Here is a 21,081-nt window from a genome sequence, read left to right as displayed (position 1 = left end):
TGATATACACTGTAGTGTGTATACCTGTGAGCTGGGAGCAAATAAGGGCTGAAATTCTGCTCATGTTTTATTGGCCAAGGCTTGGTGTATCTCTTTGCTCAGGAAGAGTTGCCCTTTTCTTCCCCCAAGATGCCTTCTGTTTACCAAGTTCTGGTCAACCAGAGAGGACAGCACTCCCTAATTCTCAGCAAATAGCCATGTAGATCAGTGGGGACCCTGCTGTTTGCACCCTCTCCACTCTCTTCTGTTTATCCTTGGGCCACAGAAAAACAGAGGTGATGGAGGAGGTACACTAAGGTGTAGGTTGTTGAAAGAGAAAGCATGATGCTTGACCCAAAGAAACCATGTTCCAGTGGCAGACTTTTAGCACGTCAATGGAGGGAGTAAGATATGGACTGGTGCAGGGGTGCTTTGCTAGGACCTCTCAAACCAGATGGGAAGGTCCTATGTGTGGCCATTCTCTAGGTGCCTGTGCTTCAGATTGAGCTGGGGGACAGCTGTCTCTGGCCCCTCTTTTGCACTTAATTTTCATGTACCCTGTCAGGAAGCTCTCCCCCTGGGCTGATGACCATCACCCCTTGGCTTTTCTGATGGGTCTGGGGAACCTGGAGATCCTTCTGACTGTTATGAACCTCCTGGGGGCAAAATACCATTCGCAGTAATGTGGAAAATAGCCTAAGGGCTGCTGAGAGCTGCCTCCTGCCATGTCCCCACACTTCCTTTATGTGTGTCCTCCCTGTCATTCCAGGAAATGCTGACCTCAGGGTGAGCAGGTTGCAGGCCATGCCTGGGGCTGGCAGAAACATATCTCAGGACGCATCTGCAAGGCTTCTAGATCATCCATGTGTGGATGCCGTGCCAGAGCTAGGCATTCAGAGCAGCAGGTTTTCTGCCTGTGAGGTCCACCCAGAGATACTGGCTTTTCCAGCAACCAGAATTAGGAAGAACTTCAGTTTCATGGCATGGGAGCCCATAGCACCCCAGAATCCTGAGCCAAGCATTCTAACTGCTAACAAGCCAATCCCCTGCCTCCTGGCAGAATCACCCCTAAGAGGGCTTGTAATGGGCAGTACTGGCCCCAAGGCAAATTTTTTTTTTTGAGTTTCTTTTATCCTAACACAACTTCTACTTCAACTAGCATCACTGAGCTGGCTTTGGGGTGAGGGTCTCAGGCACCTAATTGATTTTATACAGAAAGGCATTTCTCCTGATATTAATCTTTAGGGAAATGAAAGTCCACTTTTCTTCTGTCCAGTGTTTTGTGGCCCAAAGGGGGTGTGTCTCCAGATGAAGAAAATGGAGTATCAGTGCTAATTTGAGATCCAGTGAGCAGCGGCTCGGGTAATCAGATACCACTTCAGCTGGAAACCTCACACTTGCAGAAGGACTTTTTATTCTCACCTTCCAGAGCCTTCTAGCTATGGGGTGTGCTACAGGAAATTGGGAGCTGATGAAGAAGCGGGCTGCCCCATTCCCACCCCCAGGGCTGCCTGTAGAGAATCCAGGCCCTTCATTTCCCAGTGCCTAGCATCTTGGGGCAAAGGTACTTCCAGCTACTGCTTGTGAACCAGAATTTTTGAAGGGGGGTAAGAGTAACAAAGAGCCCCAAACAAATAACTCCCCCTGTGACTTCTTTTTGACCAAGTGTTTGCTGAGAACTAAATCAACTCTCGTAAGTGTGTTCTTTCTTAGTGTTTTAAAACAAGGTCTAGGAGTCAGGGCTTTAGCACTGAGGTTCTGGGTAACTCTGCCAGCTGTGATCCTGGACACCATCTCTGAATGGCTTTTCCTGCCCCAATTAATGTCTTCCTTGCTCATCACATTAACTCTCACCGGGAGCTTTCCTGTCAAAGGAAGGAGGCGGAGCAAGCACTTAGCTTTCCATCTACTGTCAACTTCGGCTGCATCTTGGCTGCATGTGCAGCATTGATTTTACATGTCCCTCCTCAGCAAACCTGCTAATAAGATTCTTTTCCCTCCTCTCCTTCCCCCCACCCCCTTCAACCTGGCCCTGACTCCTGGTCAGACCTTGATTACATGTCTCATTGATTCCATTCAGCTATTTATTAATACACTAATTAGTATGTTCATTTAAAGGAGAGTGACACCGCTTTTTAAAAATAGATGTACAGAGGTGTAGGTTAATGGAAATCTCTGTTTATTTAACATCGATGTCTGGTGTGAAGAGGATTAGTTTTGGATGTTAAAAGGACACAGAGGTTTTTCCGGGGCTTAAATCACTTTAGCTGACAGTCACTAACACCCTTTGAAAGGTGACACCTAGAATCATATTTCATTTTCCTTCAGTGATCATAGACACTGCAATATTGGGGTGGGGAAACTAGAGGGCAATTGAGAGAGTACAGTACAGGGCTGGTGGTATTACGTCTTTTGCAGAGAGCTCTGATTGTGTATGGGGACTGGCTGGCCCTTGCAGCCTCCAGCGAGGTATACTCACTACTCTGGCTGTAGGACACGACCGGCATTTTGTAATGAAAGGTTTGTGAATGGAAAAGCATTGCTTTTCTATTATAGGTTTGTTCTTTTTGTTCTTGAGTTGCTCACTATTAATCATGGCTGGTTAATTCTGTAACAAACCACCACAGTTCAATATGGGTTAGTATGTGGGGGGATTTTGCTCCATACAGTCATTCAGGAGCCCAGGTTCCTTCCATGTTGTGGCTCCACCATCCTGTTAAGGGCTTCTCAATTTCCCACTGGCTCTTCTGTATCTGGTCAAGAGAGAAGGGAAGAGAAAATGTGTGAAGAAAGCTGCTGAGTGCTCTGGGGACCTGGGTGTGCACCTAAGCTCGCTGTCTCCAAGTTCGGCATGCCAGGACTGCACTTTGAGTGTTGGGGAATTGTCAGGAGGCTGCTGCTGTGGTCCAAGGGAGAAATGATGAGGACTGGGCCTGAGGTACTAAGTGGAAGGGAAGGCAGAGGCCCAGAAGTGGGTCTTGGTGAGAATTAGATGAGGCAGCTGAGGGGCACGGAGGACCGAGTGGGTGCTTGTGCTCTAGCAAAGGGAGAGAATGCAGGAGAAGGAAGAGGTGGGGCTTGTTTTTGAGGAGCTGGGTTTGAAGTGTCTATGGGACAGCATGGAGATATACTGGGTGTGTGAGTGGCCAGGAGGTCAGGGAGAGACCAGGATTAAGGTCTGCACTGCAATAAGTCCCAAATTGGATGAGGGACTATAGGTGCAGATGTGGTCATTGCAGCCCAGTGGGGTAGGAGGACTATTAGGGTCATCAGCAGCAGAGGAGCTGGACTCTTCCTTTCCTCCTCCCGCTGAGTCTGTCAGACAGAAGCCTTGAGGGAGGGGAGGACAGGGGAGGTTAATTGTGTATAGCAGACCTTGGTGCCTTGCAAATACAAAATAAAGTCATATTTTGGTTAAAACTCAAATTATGCTGATTTTTTAAATTAGCTGAGCTGTGCTCAGATCCTCTTTAAGTGTCTACTAATTGCCTCCTGCAGCTGAAGAAATGCTGACCCCTCCCTCTCATTGCTATTCTCCCTGTTAATCCTAGCCTGGAAGAGGTCCTTCCCCAGATTCCTTCCAGCACAAAGAGATCAGGCTGTATGTCTGAATACAACTTTTTTTGATGGATCAAGGGTAATAAAGGAAACACAGAGAGTAACTTAACACTTCTTCAAAAGGTAGCCACTGTAGGCATCTCCAGGCTTAGACCTGTCCTCACTTGTGGGTGCCTCATGCCCCACTCCTGGGCATCCTGCTCCCTAGAGGAAGGGCAGGCTCACCACCATGCTGTGGGGGTCAGGGGTACTCTGAGTTGCAATGAAGACCCACATTCCAGCCTTCATTGTCTTCCTAGGGAACGTTCACTTCCTTCAGGGTAAACCTTACCCTTGGGCAGCAGGTGGGGTATAGCCCTAGCCTTATAGAACCCACAGAACAGCCACAGCAGAACAAGGTTCCAACCCCAAAGTCTGGGTTGGTGCTCCAAACTGCAACTGGATCCTGGGCTCAGCCTCCACCTTCTTGTAAAGTGAGGATCTCACCCACCTGTGCTGTCTTCTTCTGCCTAATTTTCAAACTATAACTCTACCTCTCTCTACCTAATGTTCAAACTGTGGTTTGAATTATAACTTGTCTGCCCATCCACAAAAATAAGCTGAGCATTCTAAAGTCATTTTAAGAAAAAAATCCTAGCCCCCATGCTGCTCCCCAAACAAACAAACAAACAAACAACTCACCCCAAGGGAATATTAAAGATGTAGCAGTAACTTAACCCAAATAGCAATTGTCATGACTGCTGAGGAATCCTCCCTGCATTTGATGTACTTTGCCATTTTCCAGAACACTAAGGAGGGTAATGACTCAGGGAAATGACCCTCCCAGAAGCACGGAAATCTGCCCCCAGGAAGATTTTAGGGTCCACTCACTTTTAAGGTTTTTCCTGCATTGATGGTTCCAGCTTTCAAAAATCTTGGGAGGGCCCAAATGTGTCAGCATCACCAGGGTTGGGACCCAGGATTTTTTTTAAGTTCCCTAGGTGATTCTCATGAGTAGCCAAGTTTGGAATCACTTCCAATGTCTGAACTAAGTGGTTCAGTTCCTACCAAGACACCTCAAGGGTGTGAGTAGTTAATAAATATTTTGTACGAGGGGAAATTAGGTTCCCTGGGATTCCTGTTTTCTTAGGTGGGATGATGATAGGGGCCTTACCAGAAAAGCATCCTGATCCAGACCCCAACAGAGTTTTCTTGGACCTCACACAAGAAAAGAATTCAGGGCAAGTCCATAAAGTAAAGCAAACGCAAGTTTATTAAGAAAGTAAAGGAGTAAAAAAATGGCTACTCCATAGGCAGAGCAGCAGGATGAGCTGCTTGATGGAGTATACTTACAGTTGTTTCTGGATTATATGCTAAACGAGGGGTGGATTATTCATGAGATTTCCAGAAAAGGGGCAGAGATTTCCCAGAACTGAGGGTTCCTCCATTTTTTAGACCATATAGGGAAACTTGTGGATGTTGCCATGGCATTTGTAAACTGTCATGGTGCTGGCCTGAGTGTCTTTTACCATGATACTGTATTATAATTAGCATATAATGAGCAGTGGGGACGACCCGAGGTCACTTTCATCACCGTCTTGGTTTTGGTGAGTTTTGGCCAGCTTCTTCACCACATCCTGTTTTATCAGCAAGGTCTTTATGACCTGTATCTTGTGCCAACCCATATCTCATCCTGTGACTAAGAATGCCTAACCTTCTGGGAATGTAGCCCAGTAGGACTCAGCCTCATTTTACCCATCCCCTATTCAAGATGGAGTCACTCTGGTTCAAACACTTCTGACAGGGTATATTTTACTCTGCAAACTAGGAAATAACAGATTAAGGTTTAAAAGCTACGTTGGGTATTTATTGGAATGTTTAGGAGAATCCTTGGTCTTGGTCTTGGGTGAGAACATGCCTAACCTTGGGTCAGAGCACATTTCTCTTGGCCCAGGGCTAGGAACAGAGAACTCAGACTGCCTGGCAGCGTCTCTCACTGTTATCAGTGTTGTCTACCTCCATGTCCCACTCCTGGGCTCTCTCCACAAGCAAAACCCCCAAATACATACAAAATGGTGGGACATTTTTTAAAAAGCCAATAAATAAAGACCTTACTTGCACTTGAAATTGCCCTAGCCTCATCTGCTTATCATAAAAATCCTTTCTCAGTCATCTCACAATTAGAATTAAACTCTACTCATTGATTTGTAATGAGGGCTAGGGGAGTCTAGAACTCCACTTTCTACTATGACAACTAAGTGCTTTTCAACAAGCAGGACTCTCCAAACCCCTCACAAACCCCACAGGATTTGGGACGTGGCATTCCTAGAAACTCTTTTGAGACTTTCCAAAGCCAGGCTTTGTCTCTTTTCACTCTCTCCCCACTTGCAGCCCTGGAGTGAAGCCACCAATTCAAAGGGCTCTGTGTGGCTGGGTGTTTTCTTCGGTTTCACGTTTTGTTCAACAGCATTAGATCTACTCGTGTTCAGACTCCCCAGGGCCTGTGTGTGCGTCACTGAAGGCTTTCTGTCCTAATTTGGTCATAGTGGTCTTGGGATCTGTAGTTGTGGCTACAAAGAGAGGTGCTTTCTGCTTTCTTGCCATCCCCAGGGCTCTTTTGCAAGCTGCTGCGTGAAGCTGAAATACAGAGTGGTCCAAAGAGTAAAAATCTAGGCCACCAACAAACTCTCTTGTTGCCTCCGCAGACCCTGATTTGATTCTCCTGGTGGGTATATTTGTGGGGTCCTGATGGCTTTGACTGCCTCCCTGTTTTCTCTGTGGTTCTGGTTTGCCTGGCTGTTGGAATGTCTGTCCCTTGATTCTTCTGTACAGTAGGCCAGAGTTGGAATCCCTGGAATAGTTCTGCACCCCACCAGGAGATCCCAGGAGGAGCCCCAGACAGCTCCCAGCCTCTTGTCTTGACTCCTACTACTCACTATACACTTACCCATGCCTGCATGCATTCAGGAGCACCCTAGCGAAGAAATGGGTGCAACCACATTGGCATGGAGGGGATGCTTGTTAAGTGACATACAAAGACCTAGAAACTGAAGCAGAGATGTAGGTGTGGGGGGGTTTAAGAAAGCAACATACTGTATAGACTTCAAGGTAAAGACTCCGAAATCAGATTAAAGTTCAATTCACATCCCACCAGTTTGTAGTTTGGGCAAATGTACTTAAATCTCCCTGAGACAGTGACTTCATTTGTAAGATGGGGGTGATGATGCCTTCCTTACAGATTACGTGAGATGACGTGTGTGAAGTGGTCAGCATCAGTACTGGGCCCAGAGCAAGCATCATTGAAGAGCACAGCCTATTGTATCTTCCTTTTGAAAAGGATTTTTCACTTTAAATTCTCTCTGTGAACTGGAATCAGGGAAAATATCACCATGGAGCTAGCTTGCTGTAATTCAGTTTACTATTTCAAGAGAGGAAGTATTTAAAACATAGATGTATTTTTCAGGCCACTTGTAACAAATTAGCATCCTTTTGGGCTCCCTTTCCTGGAATAGTGAAACCAGATGGGCCAGTTTGGCATTTGACTTGCATATTTTCATTTTGTGAATCTCATGGGTTGGACCCATGATTCCTAAGCCTTGTTTGTCCTCAGATTCACCTGAGGAACTTTTGAAAGTTACAAAGTCCCTGCCCTTGTTCCAGACTGATGTAACCAGAATCGACAAGGGTGTTAGGAGCAAGGGTGGGGATGGAGAACCTTCTCAAAAGGGAGGCTTAAGGTGGATCTGATAATCAATCAGTTTTGTAAGCCCAAAACAAGATCACTGTCCACTAGTGGGGCATTTGTTTCAATCATTTCCATTAATGCTGTTTCTTCTCCCCTCTGCTCTCCAGTGTATTATTAAAAAAGCTTAGCACTCAAGGGATTACCAGCACCTGCCCCCTTCTGTTCCTGAGTCTCAGTGAGTGTCTGGTTGTGAATTAACAGTGCCCACTGTTTTTGGCCACACAGATATATTAGATTCTGGAGATATGCTTACAAATGGCTTTCACCAGAGTTCTACTTTCTCTGGACTTAAAAAAATTTTACTGGTGCATTGGGATTTTTAGTCTCTCAGTTCCTACCTCCCAACAGGGTAGCATATTTAACCCACTAAAACTGTCAAAGCAGGAGGGAAGATCAAGACCATATGAAAGGGATCCCTAATACTTGTCCTTTCTTAGATGCTGCATTTTTTGTGGTCCTGGAAGCATCTATTCCTGCATTTCCACATCCTAGCCCTTTTTCTGCAGTGCTGCCATTGTTTTTCATTCTGAAGATTAGTTTTAGGAGTAGGTGAGCTACTATTCCTGAAGCTCTAGCTAGAGACAAAGATCCCAAGTACTTGGGTGATGGCCAAAACATCACAGAGGGGAACCAGATGTAGGTCAAGCTAGTCAAATGCACCCTTCTGAGCATTTGGGTTGGTGTTAAAGCCAGTCCCCTGTTGGACTCACTAATGATGATTGTGGTTATCAAAGGTGACTGACTACTCAGCACTGGTCAGTTTTGGGGGTTGGTTGGCAACTGCTGGTCCTCTTCTTAGCCTTGAATGTGCATAGTTATCCTATCAGTCAGCAGGAATACACCCAGCCACCTCCTGCAGGGTCCAGGCCCGCAGGTGCCTGATGACTTTGTGGTGGATGGTGTCAGTCAGTCAGTCAAACCTCTCCCTACTACAGCAACACTGGTTTTTCTTAGCCTCCTCTACCCTATTACACTTCTTAACACCTTAGTTCCAAATTTTCTTAATCCTCATTTTTTTTTTCTTTTCCTGCAAAAAACAAATGAAAGTCATCCACTCACTGTTTTGCTTTCTTCTGGAATAAAGGCATTTGGAGAGAAAAAATGAGCACATTTATAGGGAGGATTCTCTTTGGGGCTGTTTCATGAAAGAAAAACCTTGGGTCAACCCATTGCCCTGCCTTTGGGTGGCAAATGTACAAGGATTATTTGACAAGAAAGTGATGCCTGGCTTGTTTTTCTCATCCCAGCTCTCTCAGTTCAACAATTCAACAAGTATTTATAGTGTGTTTTTTTATGAGCTAGGTATTGTGCCAGGTGCTGGGGGTTCAGTGTGAGTGGCAAACATGGCCCAACCCACAGGGAGCTGAGAGTCTATCCCTGGGATGTTTTTGTTCAACCTCATTCTCCTTTGATAGGTTTCCCAGGCCTCTACACAAACCTACATCTTGACTTCCACTGGGATAAATTAAAGCTGCCCACAGGAGCATGTGAAGTAACTGCAGGAGGTAAGGTCCTTTTGAGAGAATTAGTAGGAGCTTTCTTGGGGCAGACAATAGGAGCACAGAGGACACTGGGGGAGGGGTGGTCATCCTGTTAAATTCCAGGTCTGAAGCCGGAGAGGAGTCCTGGTACAGAATAGGGAGAAAAAAAATACATTTGCTACATTTGCTTTTTGCAGATCTTATTGATTTGGTGTAGACAATAAGAAAATGAAAAGCAAACAGGTTGTGTGGAGAGCTTTGCCTGGTGTGGCTGTACTAGTCCCCTCTATTGTAGCACAGGTCCAGTTCAGATCAATGTCAACCTCAGTCATTTATTTGTGAAATTTATATAGCCCTTTCCCAAGTTACATTTTACTTTTATTTTATTTCATCTCCAAGATCTTTGCAATGAAAGTGAAAGTTTTCTATTTTTATTTTTTACAGGTACCTACTTTTGATATTCACTCATACACATGGAAGGGAGGAAAAAATATCTGTAGTGCATGACAGACATCTAGGCCAAGAAAGCCATAATTATTTAAAGGTTTACATTTCCACTCCATTCGGACCCTACCTAAAAACCTGGGAAGTTAACCCTAATGGGCACCTTTTCATCACTCAGTAGAACCAATAGTGAGAATCCTAGAAGCCCCCATGGATCACCTGTCACATAGTGACAGGGTGTGCCCCCCTCACCCTCTGCACACTTAAGTCTATTTCTGTGTGCTCCTTCTTTTCTATGGAACTTCCTGGCTTGTAATCCAATGCTCCAGGACCTCTGTTACTAACAAGTGGCTCTGGGAGCTTTCTCCTTCCCCAAAACGGGAATTGTGCTGTCAGCCAATTTCACTTAGAGAATCTCTAATATCACAAAATGGGTTGCTCTCTGACTCTCCAAGAGGTTGTCCCACCTGCCTGATTGTAGTGACACCATGGGTAGGTTCTCTATTCTCATATGAAATCATCTCTCCTCTGGGAGGGTTTTGGGTTGGAGAGTGGCCACTGTCACTTACTTGAAACAGATCTTTTCTTTGAGCTGTCTCATGACTAAAAAGAGGATGGGTGGGTTGTGGCTTAGCCCTCATAATCTCTTTCCCTTGTCTGAGCTACCCATGTTCAAAACCTCAATATCATCTTTGATTCTTCTTTCTCTTTCAATCCCACTCTCAGTTAATGGGCAAATCATATCATTTTACTTTTCTCCCTCTGTCCTTCATCTGGTTTTCTTTCCATATTCTGATTTCTGTTACCATCTTCTAGTTGGTGTGCCTCACTCATGAAATAACCCTGTACTTCCCATCTGTCTCTGTCTTCCTAGTGTTGCCACCACCATAGCCCTAGCTCAGATAGTTTGCCTTCTTCTCTGAAAGTTTGATAAAAGGAGTCAACTCTCCTTCCTGATTTTGGTCTCATGCCCCTCTAATCAGTTTGGCACGTAAGTGTCCAATTCATCTTCCTCAAGTATAGCTCCCAAGGAGAACTCCTTTGCTTGAGAATCTTCAATGGCTCCCCATCGCTTATTAAAGATCCTTCCTTTTTAGCCTAGCATTCAAGTTTATCCATGTTTTGGAACTGGCCTATTGTTTGGGTTTATCTTTTATTTCCTCCCAAAAGTAAATCCAATGTTCCAGTCAAATCAAATACCAGCTGGGAGGTTTTTGCTTCTAGTAAAGGCAGACTAGCTAATTCAATTGACTGACCTTCCTACTGATAAAAATTCAGAAAGTGGAGAAGATATTTTCAAAAGCATGCTTGAAGACATATGAAAGCTAGTAAGGTGGTAAATATTGATAGGGCCAAATTTTGGAAGAAGCTGGAAATCAAGAGGTTAACTAATCAGAGGGATTAGACTTTTGCTGGCTTCTAAAGAGGCAGCCGAGGGTCTAAGCAATGCATTTGACAGCATCAGGGCATTACAGGACACAAGCTGGAGTCCAGGGCCTATTAAGCATGGGAACATTTTGGGTTGGAACTACAAGTAAACCAGCCTTTGCAAGTTGTGAAGTCAGGCTTTGAATCCCTTGAGTAGCTAAGAAAAATGACAATTTCTGAAATGGGATTAATGTTACACTATGTTGCAAGTCAGTTACCTGGTAGAAGCAAACAATACTATCTGGAGGAAGATACCTTATCCTAGTCATTGTATTATTTCTACAAATAAATCTTTGAATACAATGTCCAGCATGTAATCAAAGATAAGCTGACACACAAGGAAATAAGTCAACATGACCGAGAACCAGCAGAAATAATAGACTCACAGGTTTCCTGGATAATTTCCAGTGCAATTATCAGACCATGGATTTAAAATAACCATGCTTACTATTTTTCAAGTAGAAATAAGACAAGATTACAAGTTTTGGCAGCAAACTAGAAACTATAAAAATGACATAGTAGATTTCAAACAAGAACCAAAAAGAAATCCTGGAACTGAAAAAATACAGCAACTGAAATTAAGAATTCAATGGATGTATTTTAAATAATTTAGAAATAGCTGAAGAGATAATTAATGAAGTAGGGCAGTGGGCAAATGAAATCATCCAAAATGAAGTATAATAAATACAGAAAACTTAGGTAAGAGACATCGAGGATACAGTGAGAATAGTCTTATCTATCTAATTGGATTTCTACAAAGAAAGAAAAAAAATGAAGAAGTATTATTTGAAGAGGTAATGGCTATGAATTTTCTAAAACAAGGAGAAAATATCAATACAGAGATTCAAGAAGGTCTGTAAACTCTAAGCAGGTTAAATAAGAAATCTACATTCAGACCTGTCACAGTACAAACATAGAAAATTGAAGACACATTGTAGTATTTGTTATTTCCTGAGCAAGTCTTTAATTTTCTTGCATCTGTACCTTGGCCTATACTATTCCCCCACGCCCTCATCTTCATCTGTCCAGATGTTACCCATTATTTACCAAGCTTTATCTGATAATCCTCCTGTCTTTACCTCCAACTGGATTTATAATTAAAATTATCAGTAAAAACTTAATGTCAACCATATTAATCCTACTTGTTTGACTACTGCTATCATTATCAAGTGCTTACTTAGTTCCAGGCACTGTCCTGGGCACCAGTCATGTATTATTTCTTTTAATTCTCATAAAACTCAGTAGAGGTTGTTACACAAGAAAACACAGAGACCACCCACCTCTCCTCTGAACTTGTCTAGTATTTTACCTGTCATGTACCACCTATTTCATTTTTTTTAAAGCACCTCTTCTTCTAAACATATATTAGATTTTCCTGGAACTGTTATAATTTGTATGTAAAGCCCATTTCATCTAGAGGAAGTGATTCGCATCTGGTTTTACTCATGCATAGTAGGTGTTCATTCATTTGTTGAGTGAGTCTCTCACGTGGCTTACCTGGCTTGTCCCTGAGATGCCTTAAATGCCTGCGGATCTGTTAGAATCTGAGCAGATGCACCAATGGAAACTGAGCCCATCCCCACAACTTATCATCTCTGCCTGCCTTAGCAGCTCCTGTTCACACGTTAAATTGAAAGCAGCAACCCATGCTCTATTTAAAGTGTCCTCGAAAATGGTGCTCAAGTGTGTAACACAGCTATTTCACTGACGTGGGCAAGGTATTTATGGAGAAGTTGTTTTTCCTTTGGATAGGGGGCTTTATAACCAGAAGCCATTATATGACACCTATGTGGATGTCAAAAGGAAAACAACGAAAAAACCTCTACTAGTTACTTCCATCTCTATCAAGACATAATCTCCCTGGTTATTTTCTCTATCAAGCCGTCTCTCTTCCATCAGCATCCAAAGATCACAAAATATGACCTGGGGCCAGTAAAGTTGAAGCAGGAATTGTCCAGAGCAGAAAGAATAATTGCGGTTTTCACCGTTAGCATTCCAGCAGCACCGGCTCTCTCTGGGTTTGTTCACCAACTCAGCTTGACAGCTTAATGGTTTGTGGGGCAAGGAACATTTTAGCACAGTCAGTTGCTACTCTTATGGGGAGGGGGAAGCTGGTGAAAGCACTAGGTAGGAGTCTCTAGGGAAAGGGGCTATGTATGGGAAGAGAGGTGTTAAGTTAGGGGAAATGGCCAACTTCATCCAAGCCACATTTCATCCAGTGCTTCGGGAAACCTGTGAATCGTGCATGCTTTTGTGTGCTGCTGTTACTTTTCTCCCCTCTGGCTCTCTGTCTGGCACTTTTTCCTTGGGAATCCTTTGAAATAAATCTTTATTGATTCTACTGATTACATTCACTCCTGGCATTTTTGACAGCCAGGATTGTTAAGTTTCTGAACAGTACCAACATTCTCCTCTCATCCTTACCTCCGTCTCCCTTTCTGAGTAACAAATAATAAATAGCACAAAGTTTTTAAGAACGGTCCAGGCCGGGCGCGGTGGCTCACGCCTGTAATCCCAGCACTTTGGGAGGCCGAGGCGGGTGGATCATGAGGTCAGGAGATCGAGACCATCCTGGCTAACAAGGTGAAACACCGTCTCTACTAAAAATACAAAAAATTAGCCGGGCGCGGTGGCGGGCGCCTGTAGTCCCAGCTACTCGGGAGGCTGAGGCAGGAGAATGGCGTGAACCCGGGAAGCGGAGCTTGCAGTGAGCCGAGATTGCGCCACTGCAGTCCGCAGTCCGGCCTGGGCGACAGAGCAAGACTCCGTCTCAAAAAAAAAAAAAAAAAAAAAAAAAAAAAGAACGGTCCACACTACACCTTCTGCTCTCTTGAGCCAACATCCATTTCCTGTATGAACTTTGGGGAAATTTGGGGAATTCCTACTAACACCGTGTTGGAAAATGTTTGCCTGGGCCCACGGAGCTGGAGATCTAGCCCAGGTTTGGGAAGGGGTGATTGGAGCTAGGGCAATTGAAGCAATTGCATGTTAAATGAGATTTGAAGCAATTGCATGTTAAATAAGACAATGAAATGTCTAGAGTGAGAGCTGGCCCTCGCAACATCCACAGTAGGACTTGAGCAGGAGACGTGTCCCATGAGACGTCCAGCCCTCCACAGCAATTGTTGTGATTGTTTAGCGTATTCTCTAGGCAGAGACATGCTGCATGCTCTGGATAGCTCCGAAACTCTGGGTTGATCAGTGTTTCTCAGTGGAGATGTCACTGGCATTGTAAGTAGGATGCTTCTTCATTATGCAGAGCCATCTTACACAGTGCAAGAGGAGCATCCCTGACCCTCTGGATCCTAAAAGCCAAGAGCACTCAGTCAACCACAAAGCCTCCATACATTTCTAGATGCCCACGGGGAAGGGAAATGGCCCCAGAGGAGACCTTTTGCAAGTCAGAGAGAAGGAAAGGCATTGTTAACACCTTGCCTTCAGTTAACACTGCTCTGTTCTCTGGGGAATGGCTATTAAGATATCTTTGATAGCTGAGTGACCTTGAACGATTCCTTTCAAAAACTCTCTAAGCCTTCACTGAGATCCTTGATAGTTGCCTAGTGATCGTGGAAGAACTCATCTCTTAGGTTTTTAGGAAGATCAATATTAGCAAATATTTATGAGTGCTTACAATTTGCTAAGCACATTCTATGCAGGGTCTTATTTAATCTTTGTAACCAACAACCCTGTGAAATAGGTTCCATCATCATTCCCACTTAACACATGATGAAACTGGTTTTGGTCCCACCTTACAGATGGAAAGACTTAAGTGTATTACTCAAGGTTGTGCAGCTAGCCGGACTATAACAGGTCAGTGGCTTTTCAAACTTCAGTGTGCTTCAGAGCTTCCTGGAGGGCTTGGAAAAATCAGATTGCTGGAACCCAGCTACAGAGTTTCTGATTTTGTAGGTCTGAAGCAGGCCTGAGATTTACATTTCTGATAAGTTCCCAGGTGTTGCTGCTCTGGGGACCAATTGCAACTTGAGAACCACTGACTGGAGCCCTCCAATTCGTAACTGCCGGTAATTTGGAATGTATTGTGAGCTCTGGGAAGACAGGTGGAGGGTCTGTCCCTCTCCCCATGTACACACAGCACACTCATCAAGGGATATTGTATGGCTCTACGTGGCCTTGGACAGGGCACGGTCTTTGTGGCAGGGACAGAGTCTCACTTGGGTTGTACTCCACTGTCAATCTCTTGAGACTCCCTGTGTCCCACAGCCCTGGGATGGAGAGGCAGGATCCTAAGTAGGCACAATAGGTCCTGGGGCCTTGTAGCAGGGAGAGAGAAGAGCAAGGAGGGTGAGAGGGTGGCAGCAGTCACAGGGAAACAGGCAGGGGCTGGGATGTTAAAAAGTCATAGAAGATGTGAGTTATTACAGGATCTGAAACCTGTATTCAGGAGCTTTAATTATTTCTACTGTGTTTGTGTTTTCTGTGACTATCAGATTTTCATTCTCTGCTTTTCACAATGTCAACTTGGTCAAAGAGGAGCCAAGGAAAGGGATTTTCTTTCCCTCGTGCTTAGGGCAGGATGTTAGGAGGGGAACAAGGTCTGCCTCTGGTTGGTCATGATGGCAGCAGCTGGAATCAAAGTGTGGGAAGCCGGGAGATAATGGACAAGGGGTGCGGCAGCAGCCTACAGCATCCTGGCTCTCCTGGCCTGAAGGTGCTTCCAGCCATAATATGATACCCACTGCTTATCATGTGCAGGGGCAGATGCTAAACACCTTATAGTTGTGAGGGATGGATTCTATTTTTGAAATCCATTTTATAGATAAAGTAAGTTTGAGAGATTCAGAAATTTCAAAGGTTTACACAATGAGCAAATAACAGAGCCAGGCCTGGAGTCCAGGGCAGCCTTAGGTATAGCCCCCAACTTTAATGCTTTTGCAGTAATGCTCACTTACAATCTTGGTGCTTGCTCTGTCTGAATTCCTGACGGTGGGGACACTTCAGTTCCATTCACCTTGCCTGGAAGCAGGTATTCCCTTCCTGTGAAGCTGGTGATGCTCCAGGCTTCAGACTGCCTCTGCCTAAGACCTTGCCGGTGCATTTGTGCTGATCATATAACTTCATGGGGCCCGAGTGTCTCCGCTTCGGGAGCACCAGGACTCCTTTCCTCTCTTGCTGGGCTGCTGTGTGGACACTGACATGTCTCTGGGCTCATGAGAGGAAGGTGGTGCAGGTGCTCGTGGAAGCAGGCAAGGGCTCCACTGCCACCCTGTGTCTGCAAGCCTGGTACACATTTCTCCTCCATGTGGGTGGCAGCATTGGGAGGACTGGAGAAGGGGAAGCAAGAGAGGACAGCGATTGTCTGATCCTTTTCTTGGAGGACTTGAAATGTGAGCAGGTTTGGGGTCGGGCAGGATCAGCGAAGCTCTACATTTTGCAGAGGAGTTGCTCTGTGCTGGGGGATTTTCCCCTCTGCTGGTTTGATAAATGATCCCAGGCTGTGTGTCCAGGCTGAGCGTGCGGGTTGTGGTGGCCCCCACTGCCCGTGCACTTCTCCATGAAATTGACAACAGAAGGTCATGGCTTGAGGAAGGGCTTGATCTAGATAAAGACTTTCTTTTTTTAAGAATTTCCCAGCTCCCATTCTTACCAGAGGCTTTGCTGTCATTGTGAATTTGACACCTCACTCTCAGAGGGCCTGGCTTCACTTCTCTCTTCCTGTCTGGCCTTCCTCACTCCCACTTCCATGCAGCACAGTAGAGCATGTTGAGTAGATGCCTCCCACCCTCTTCCGGGTCTGGTCAGGCACATGTGCCTCAGTCCCGAGACACCCTGCAGTTCTGCTTCTGGTGTTTGTCTCTAACTAGAGAATCCTAGCTAAAGCCCTTAAAGCACATCTTAACTTTTTTGAAATAGGAACTTGGGTGCTGAAAATGGCCCCTTCAGGGCAATGTATGGACTTAGAGGATTAAGGCTTCTTCCTAAGAGGCTACTTTCATTGTGTCAGGCCAAAAAAGAACCACCAAATCTTATCATTAGATTGTTAATTCCACCAAAGTTTTCATTTGTCGTGCTTGGTAGGTGCCAGACACAGCCAAGAGCTCATTTTAGGCATTGCTTGCTCCAACCTCCTGCCTTAGAGGGGAGTCTGGTGCACACGAAAAGGACACCTGGCTGCTGCCTGGATATGTCTGGGGTAGCTTGACCCATTGCCAGGCTGGCCCTGTGGACGGCGTGGTCTCAGACAGGATCAAGATCTCTGTCTTCTGACCTCCACTTGCAGGCCCTGCTTCTGCCCTTTGGAAGAATCCAGAAAGAAAGCTCGCTCCTCCAGGCAGCAGCCCCCAAGTGCAGTTTATACGTAACCTGTCGCTTCAAGGCTTCCCGGACTTCTCTAGTTGCTTGCTTCCTTGCCATCTTTTAAATCAGCCTAATGCTCCTGGGAGGAAGATCAGCTTAGCAACACTCCTTGGCAAGAAGCAGAGGCTGACACAGAGTGGGGACTCAGCAGTTCGTGCTCAAAATAATCTGCTTTTCTTCAGAAATACTTTCCTCATGACTGTCTCTTTCTGCCCTAACTTCCTGGAGTTGGGACCTTCGACTTGTAAAAGTCAGCCATACGTTTAGGGCAGCATTTCCTCGCTTAGGGGTGGTGTATGAGTTGCTGCCACTGCCATAGCTGCTGGACCAGGCATAGCTCCGTGGCTGGCTCTAGGATTACAGCCTACCAGCCTCTCTCTGCAGCTCCTTGTGGCTGGTCCTCTGGGCTGATTTGCCCAAGGACTGGCCTTCTAATTAATCTCCAGGTGTCTGGAGCCCTGGTAGATCAGCCTATATCTGGCAGGTTTGCTCAGAGGAGAAGCTTGGCGGTGCCACATGGGGGCCCTGCAGGGGCTGAAGGAAGCCTTGTTCAGAAGCCTCCTTCTCCTTCCTTCTGCACCACTGAGGTCGTCGTTCTATTTGTTGAGACCTCTATGTGTCAGTGGGGTGCATGCAGAGGTGGAGGTAGGCTTAGGGAGGGGAATTTAGTCTTTGTCCTCTGTAATGCACAACTTCTCCCTTGGTCTGTTGCAAGGATCAAGACTAGGATAAAAGGATAAAAATTAGTCACTTATAGGGAACGACGGGAAGAAAAACTGAACTTACTAGGGAGAACAATGTAACACAGTCATGATGGCAATAATAACCGCAAACACCAATACAGCAGCTACTATGTGTGCAGCACTGTTTGAAGCATTTACACTTATTAACTCATTTAATCTTCACAAAAGCCCAATGCAGTATGTCCTATTATAACCCCATTTTATGCACGAGGGTCCGAGGTTCAGAGAGTAACTCGTCCAAGGTCATAAGACGAAGGTAAGTTTTTCTCCAAGTTTGGCATGCCCAATTGCTGTGGGAAGCAGGAGAGAGGTGGGAGCAGAGATTCTGGAGCCTGGCTTTGAGTCTGGGCTGCAGCCTTTAAAATGATCTACTCTCTGTAAACCCCAGTTTTTCCCTCTGTCTAATAGGTAATAAGACCTACCTTGTAGGGTTGTGGTGGGGATTAATGGAGATGATGGGGGTCAAGTGTTCAGCCACGTGCCTGGCCTGTGGCAAGTTCTCTGTAATTAGCTCCTATTGGTGCAGGGGAAGATGCCTTGATTTTTCAATCATCGGGAAAAGATCCTGCCTGTGTGGCCTGCAGAGGGGATCTTGGCCAAGGTATAATGCATGAGCCTGGGAACAAAAGGACCTGGGTTCTATTCTCTCGGGGTCACACTTTCCTTTTGGCTTTCTTAGTGAATTGGTGGGACAGTGAGGTGTGGGCTATGGGGCGGCTGCCATCGAGGTAAATGAGATGAATCAGGGTCCTGAATACCAAGGGACCCCTTTCCTTTCCTCTGGAGCCCCAACTCTGCAGCTGATATGAGGAAGAGGGTAGGAGGGGAGATACGCTCATTGGCCTCAGCCACAAAAGGCCGTTACCAAGGGCTGGGTCTTGAGGTTCCTGAGTGTGGCCCCCTCTTGCTGTTCTCCCATGGAAACCCACCAACCAGACCACAGCCCCTCCTCTGCCTCTGCAAGCCAGGAGAACCCTCAACAAAGTTGGGGAATGACGTTTGGTCTCTGATGTTTTTGGCATGTGCCCCCATCCATTGGGCATTGTCTGTAAGTAAATCAGCGCTCATTGGGAGGTTCATCATTAATGATGGTGAACATAAATCCAGATATCAAAATAGTCTTCATAGTTTTGATTTCTTTTTTATTTGGAGACGGGTTGATTTCTGGTCTGATAAGTTGGTCCTGCAGCTTGTAATATGGATGATGAAGATCTATACTAGGTGTGGAAGGATCACATCTTCATTTTCTTATTGATTACCAGTGCCTGCATTATTTATGTGTTATTTTCTATCCATATTCTCCTGATAGGAAGGCCTTAAAGCCACTTGCCTAGTTTTTAAAACACTGGATTATTGAAGTGAAATAACACAGTAAATCGTAAGTTTCCTGAATTGGCTCAGGTATACTGTCATATCTTGCTAAATACTGTGGCAGGTTAAGGAATGGGGGCGCCGTGTCAGCCTCAGCATCATGGTGCCATCTGCTCTCAGGCACCTGTAAGATCCATGCCCCTCAACACGCCCAGTAATGGCGCCCATTCTTCATATCAAATATTAGTAGAGCTGTTATGTTTCAGTCTTTTGAGGTACAAATAGATTTAAATAGAAGTTCTAGTATTTTCTTTCCATAGCCCTTCTTTTGGAGACTACTAAAATAAAAGGCTTTGAGTGCCAGCCAACCCAGTGTCCATCCTATTTGCTCCAGCTCCCGGCTGCTCTCAGGCTAGAGGCTCTTTGTGCCTCCTCACCCCATTCCGCCACTACAGAATCTATGCACACACAACACTCACGGGCAGGCACCCGTGGACAGGGCCCCTGGAGCCAGATTCTCGGTCTCTGCATCAGGCTTAGATATGTGGACGCCAGGGTAGGGAGGGCTGGGGTGGAAGGAACCTCAGGTCTCTCACTTGGCTCCTCTCACTTGGAAGTTGCTGCTGTTTCATGGGCCCTCTCACAGAGGGGAGGGGGTCTAATGGTGGAAGTAGTTAGTAGGGGCGGTGGCCCTGGGGCTGGTGACTTGGGGAGACTTGGAGCAGAGTCAGGGAAGATCTGGAATTGCTGATTGGATTTCTCACCAGGTATCCCTGTTCCAGCCAAGTAGTCTTGTATCCTCTCCTTGTTGAAGCTGACCGGCTTTCTGTTTCAGTGTGAATTCCTGTTCCCCTCTCCTCTTTACTACTACACACACTCAAGCTGCGGCTTCTTCTTCACTGGCCTTTTTTCTTTTCTTCCTCTTTGCTGGCCTTGGGAGTTCTCATAAAGCAACCATTTTATTTCCCTTTCTTCAGCCTTCACTCAGCCACCAAGGAATGTCTTTGAATCTCATTGCCTTTGTTGCCTGGTGACTTGTTAACATAATAATAGTAATAATAATAATAATAATAATAGTAATATCCTTATTCTGTCCTTTAGAGCAACCCCACAGGGGTCTGGTTCTGTGGGAAGTGGTCCCAAACCAGAGTTCTTGGTTCTAAGATGAGAGGATGAGGTGGCCTTGTTCAAGGAGGTGGGTTAGTGTGGGATAGGTGATGGCTCCAAGATGGGCGGTGAAGGGAGGAAGGGCTGGGTGCTGGCAGCAGGCACAGAAGGGAGAGCAGAGCTCTCTGGTCCTGCAGGCTGTGTGCTCAAGAAGCCCGGCTTCCACTGATCAGAGCTCCCCGAGGTGGGCAGGGCAGCTGCAGTTTCTTAGACTAGCAGAGCAAAAGGAGAACAGAGGCCCAGAGCATCAAATAGAGAAAAATGGTTTTCTTGTGGAGCCAAGGTTTTTTGTTTTAAGTAAGCACAGGGGAGTCCTGATGTGGATGGGAATCCTTGAATTATTAGAAGGTGCTTGGGTTGGAAAATTGGGCTAAGGCTGGCCTCTGTGGATTCCAGGGAACCCTTTGAACAGGTGATGTCTGGAGACAAGTTAATTCTTTTCATGTTGGGGGCCTTGCACCTCTCCAGTTCCTGAGTTTATGTTCCACCCAAGGATTTGGCTACCTATGATGGGACCTCAGAGCACTGCAAGGGCAGCTCTAGGAAGCAATTTAAGGTAAAACAGTCCTGATCATTTGTTCCTCCTACTTTGAGTGGGTGTTTATACTGTGCTGAGTACTGTGCATGCAACTGAAAATAAGAAGCATATCTTCACCTTAATGGGGTTTCCTTAGCTGCAAAGGGAATACAGGTATAAACATTATGGCAAGTGCAAAGTAGAACATGATAATGATAATGTGTATACAGGTTCTATTATTCTGGAAATTAAAGGAAGGACAGAAATCCCTTCGGTTTGGAAGTTAGGAGGGATTTGTGGTGGTGGCAACCAGTTCCACTGATTGCTCTACTTATTCCTCATCACAACCTACAAGGAAGATCCTACTGTCATCTCTGTTTTATGCTTAAGAAAACTGAGGCCTAGAGGGAATAA

The 21,081-nt window shown here is 45.5% G+C and overlaps 1 protein-coding gene across 11 annotated transcripts in view; it reads left to right on the top strand.

Moving 5' to 3' along the window:
* The window catches only part of PLXNA4 (plexin A4), a 525,349-nt gene that overhangs the window by 94,704 nt on the left and 409,564 nt on the right, over positions 1 to 21,081 (top strand). For 2 of the 11 annotated variants that reach the window (XM_006716171.5, XM_047421019.1), the window contains exon 2: positions 8,677 to 8,766. The exons of the other annotated variants lie outside the window; for them this stretch is intronic. The gene's annotated coding sequence lies outside the window, so the exon portion shown is untranslated. The remainder of the gene's footprint in view (positions 1 to 8,676; positions 8,767 to 21,081) is intronic. 11 annotated transcript variants of the gene reach the window in all.

This window comes from Homo sapiens, chromosome 7 (assembly GCF_000001405.40).
Source record: "Homo sapiens chromosome 7, GRCh38.p14 Primary Assembly".
NCBI lineage: Eukaryota > Metazoa > Chordata > Mammalia > Primates > Hominidae > Homo > Homo sapiens.
Note: the sequence above shows the minus strand (reverse complement) of the source record. Positions and strands in the feature narration are given on the sequence as shown.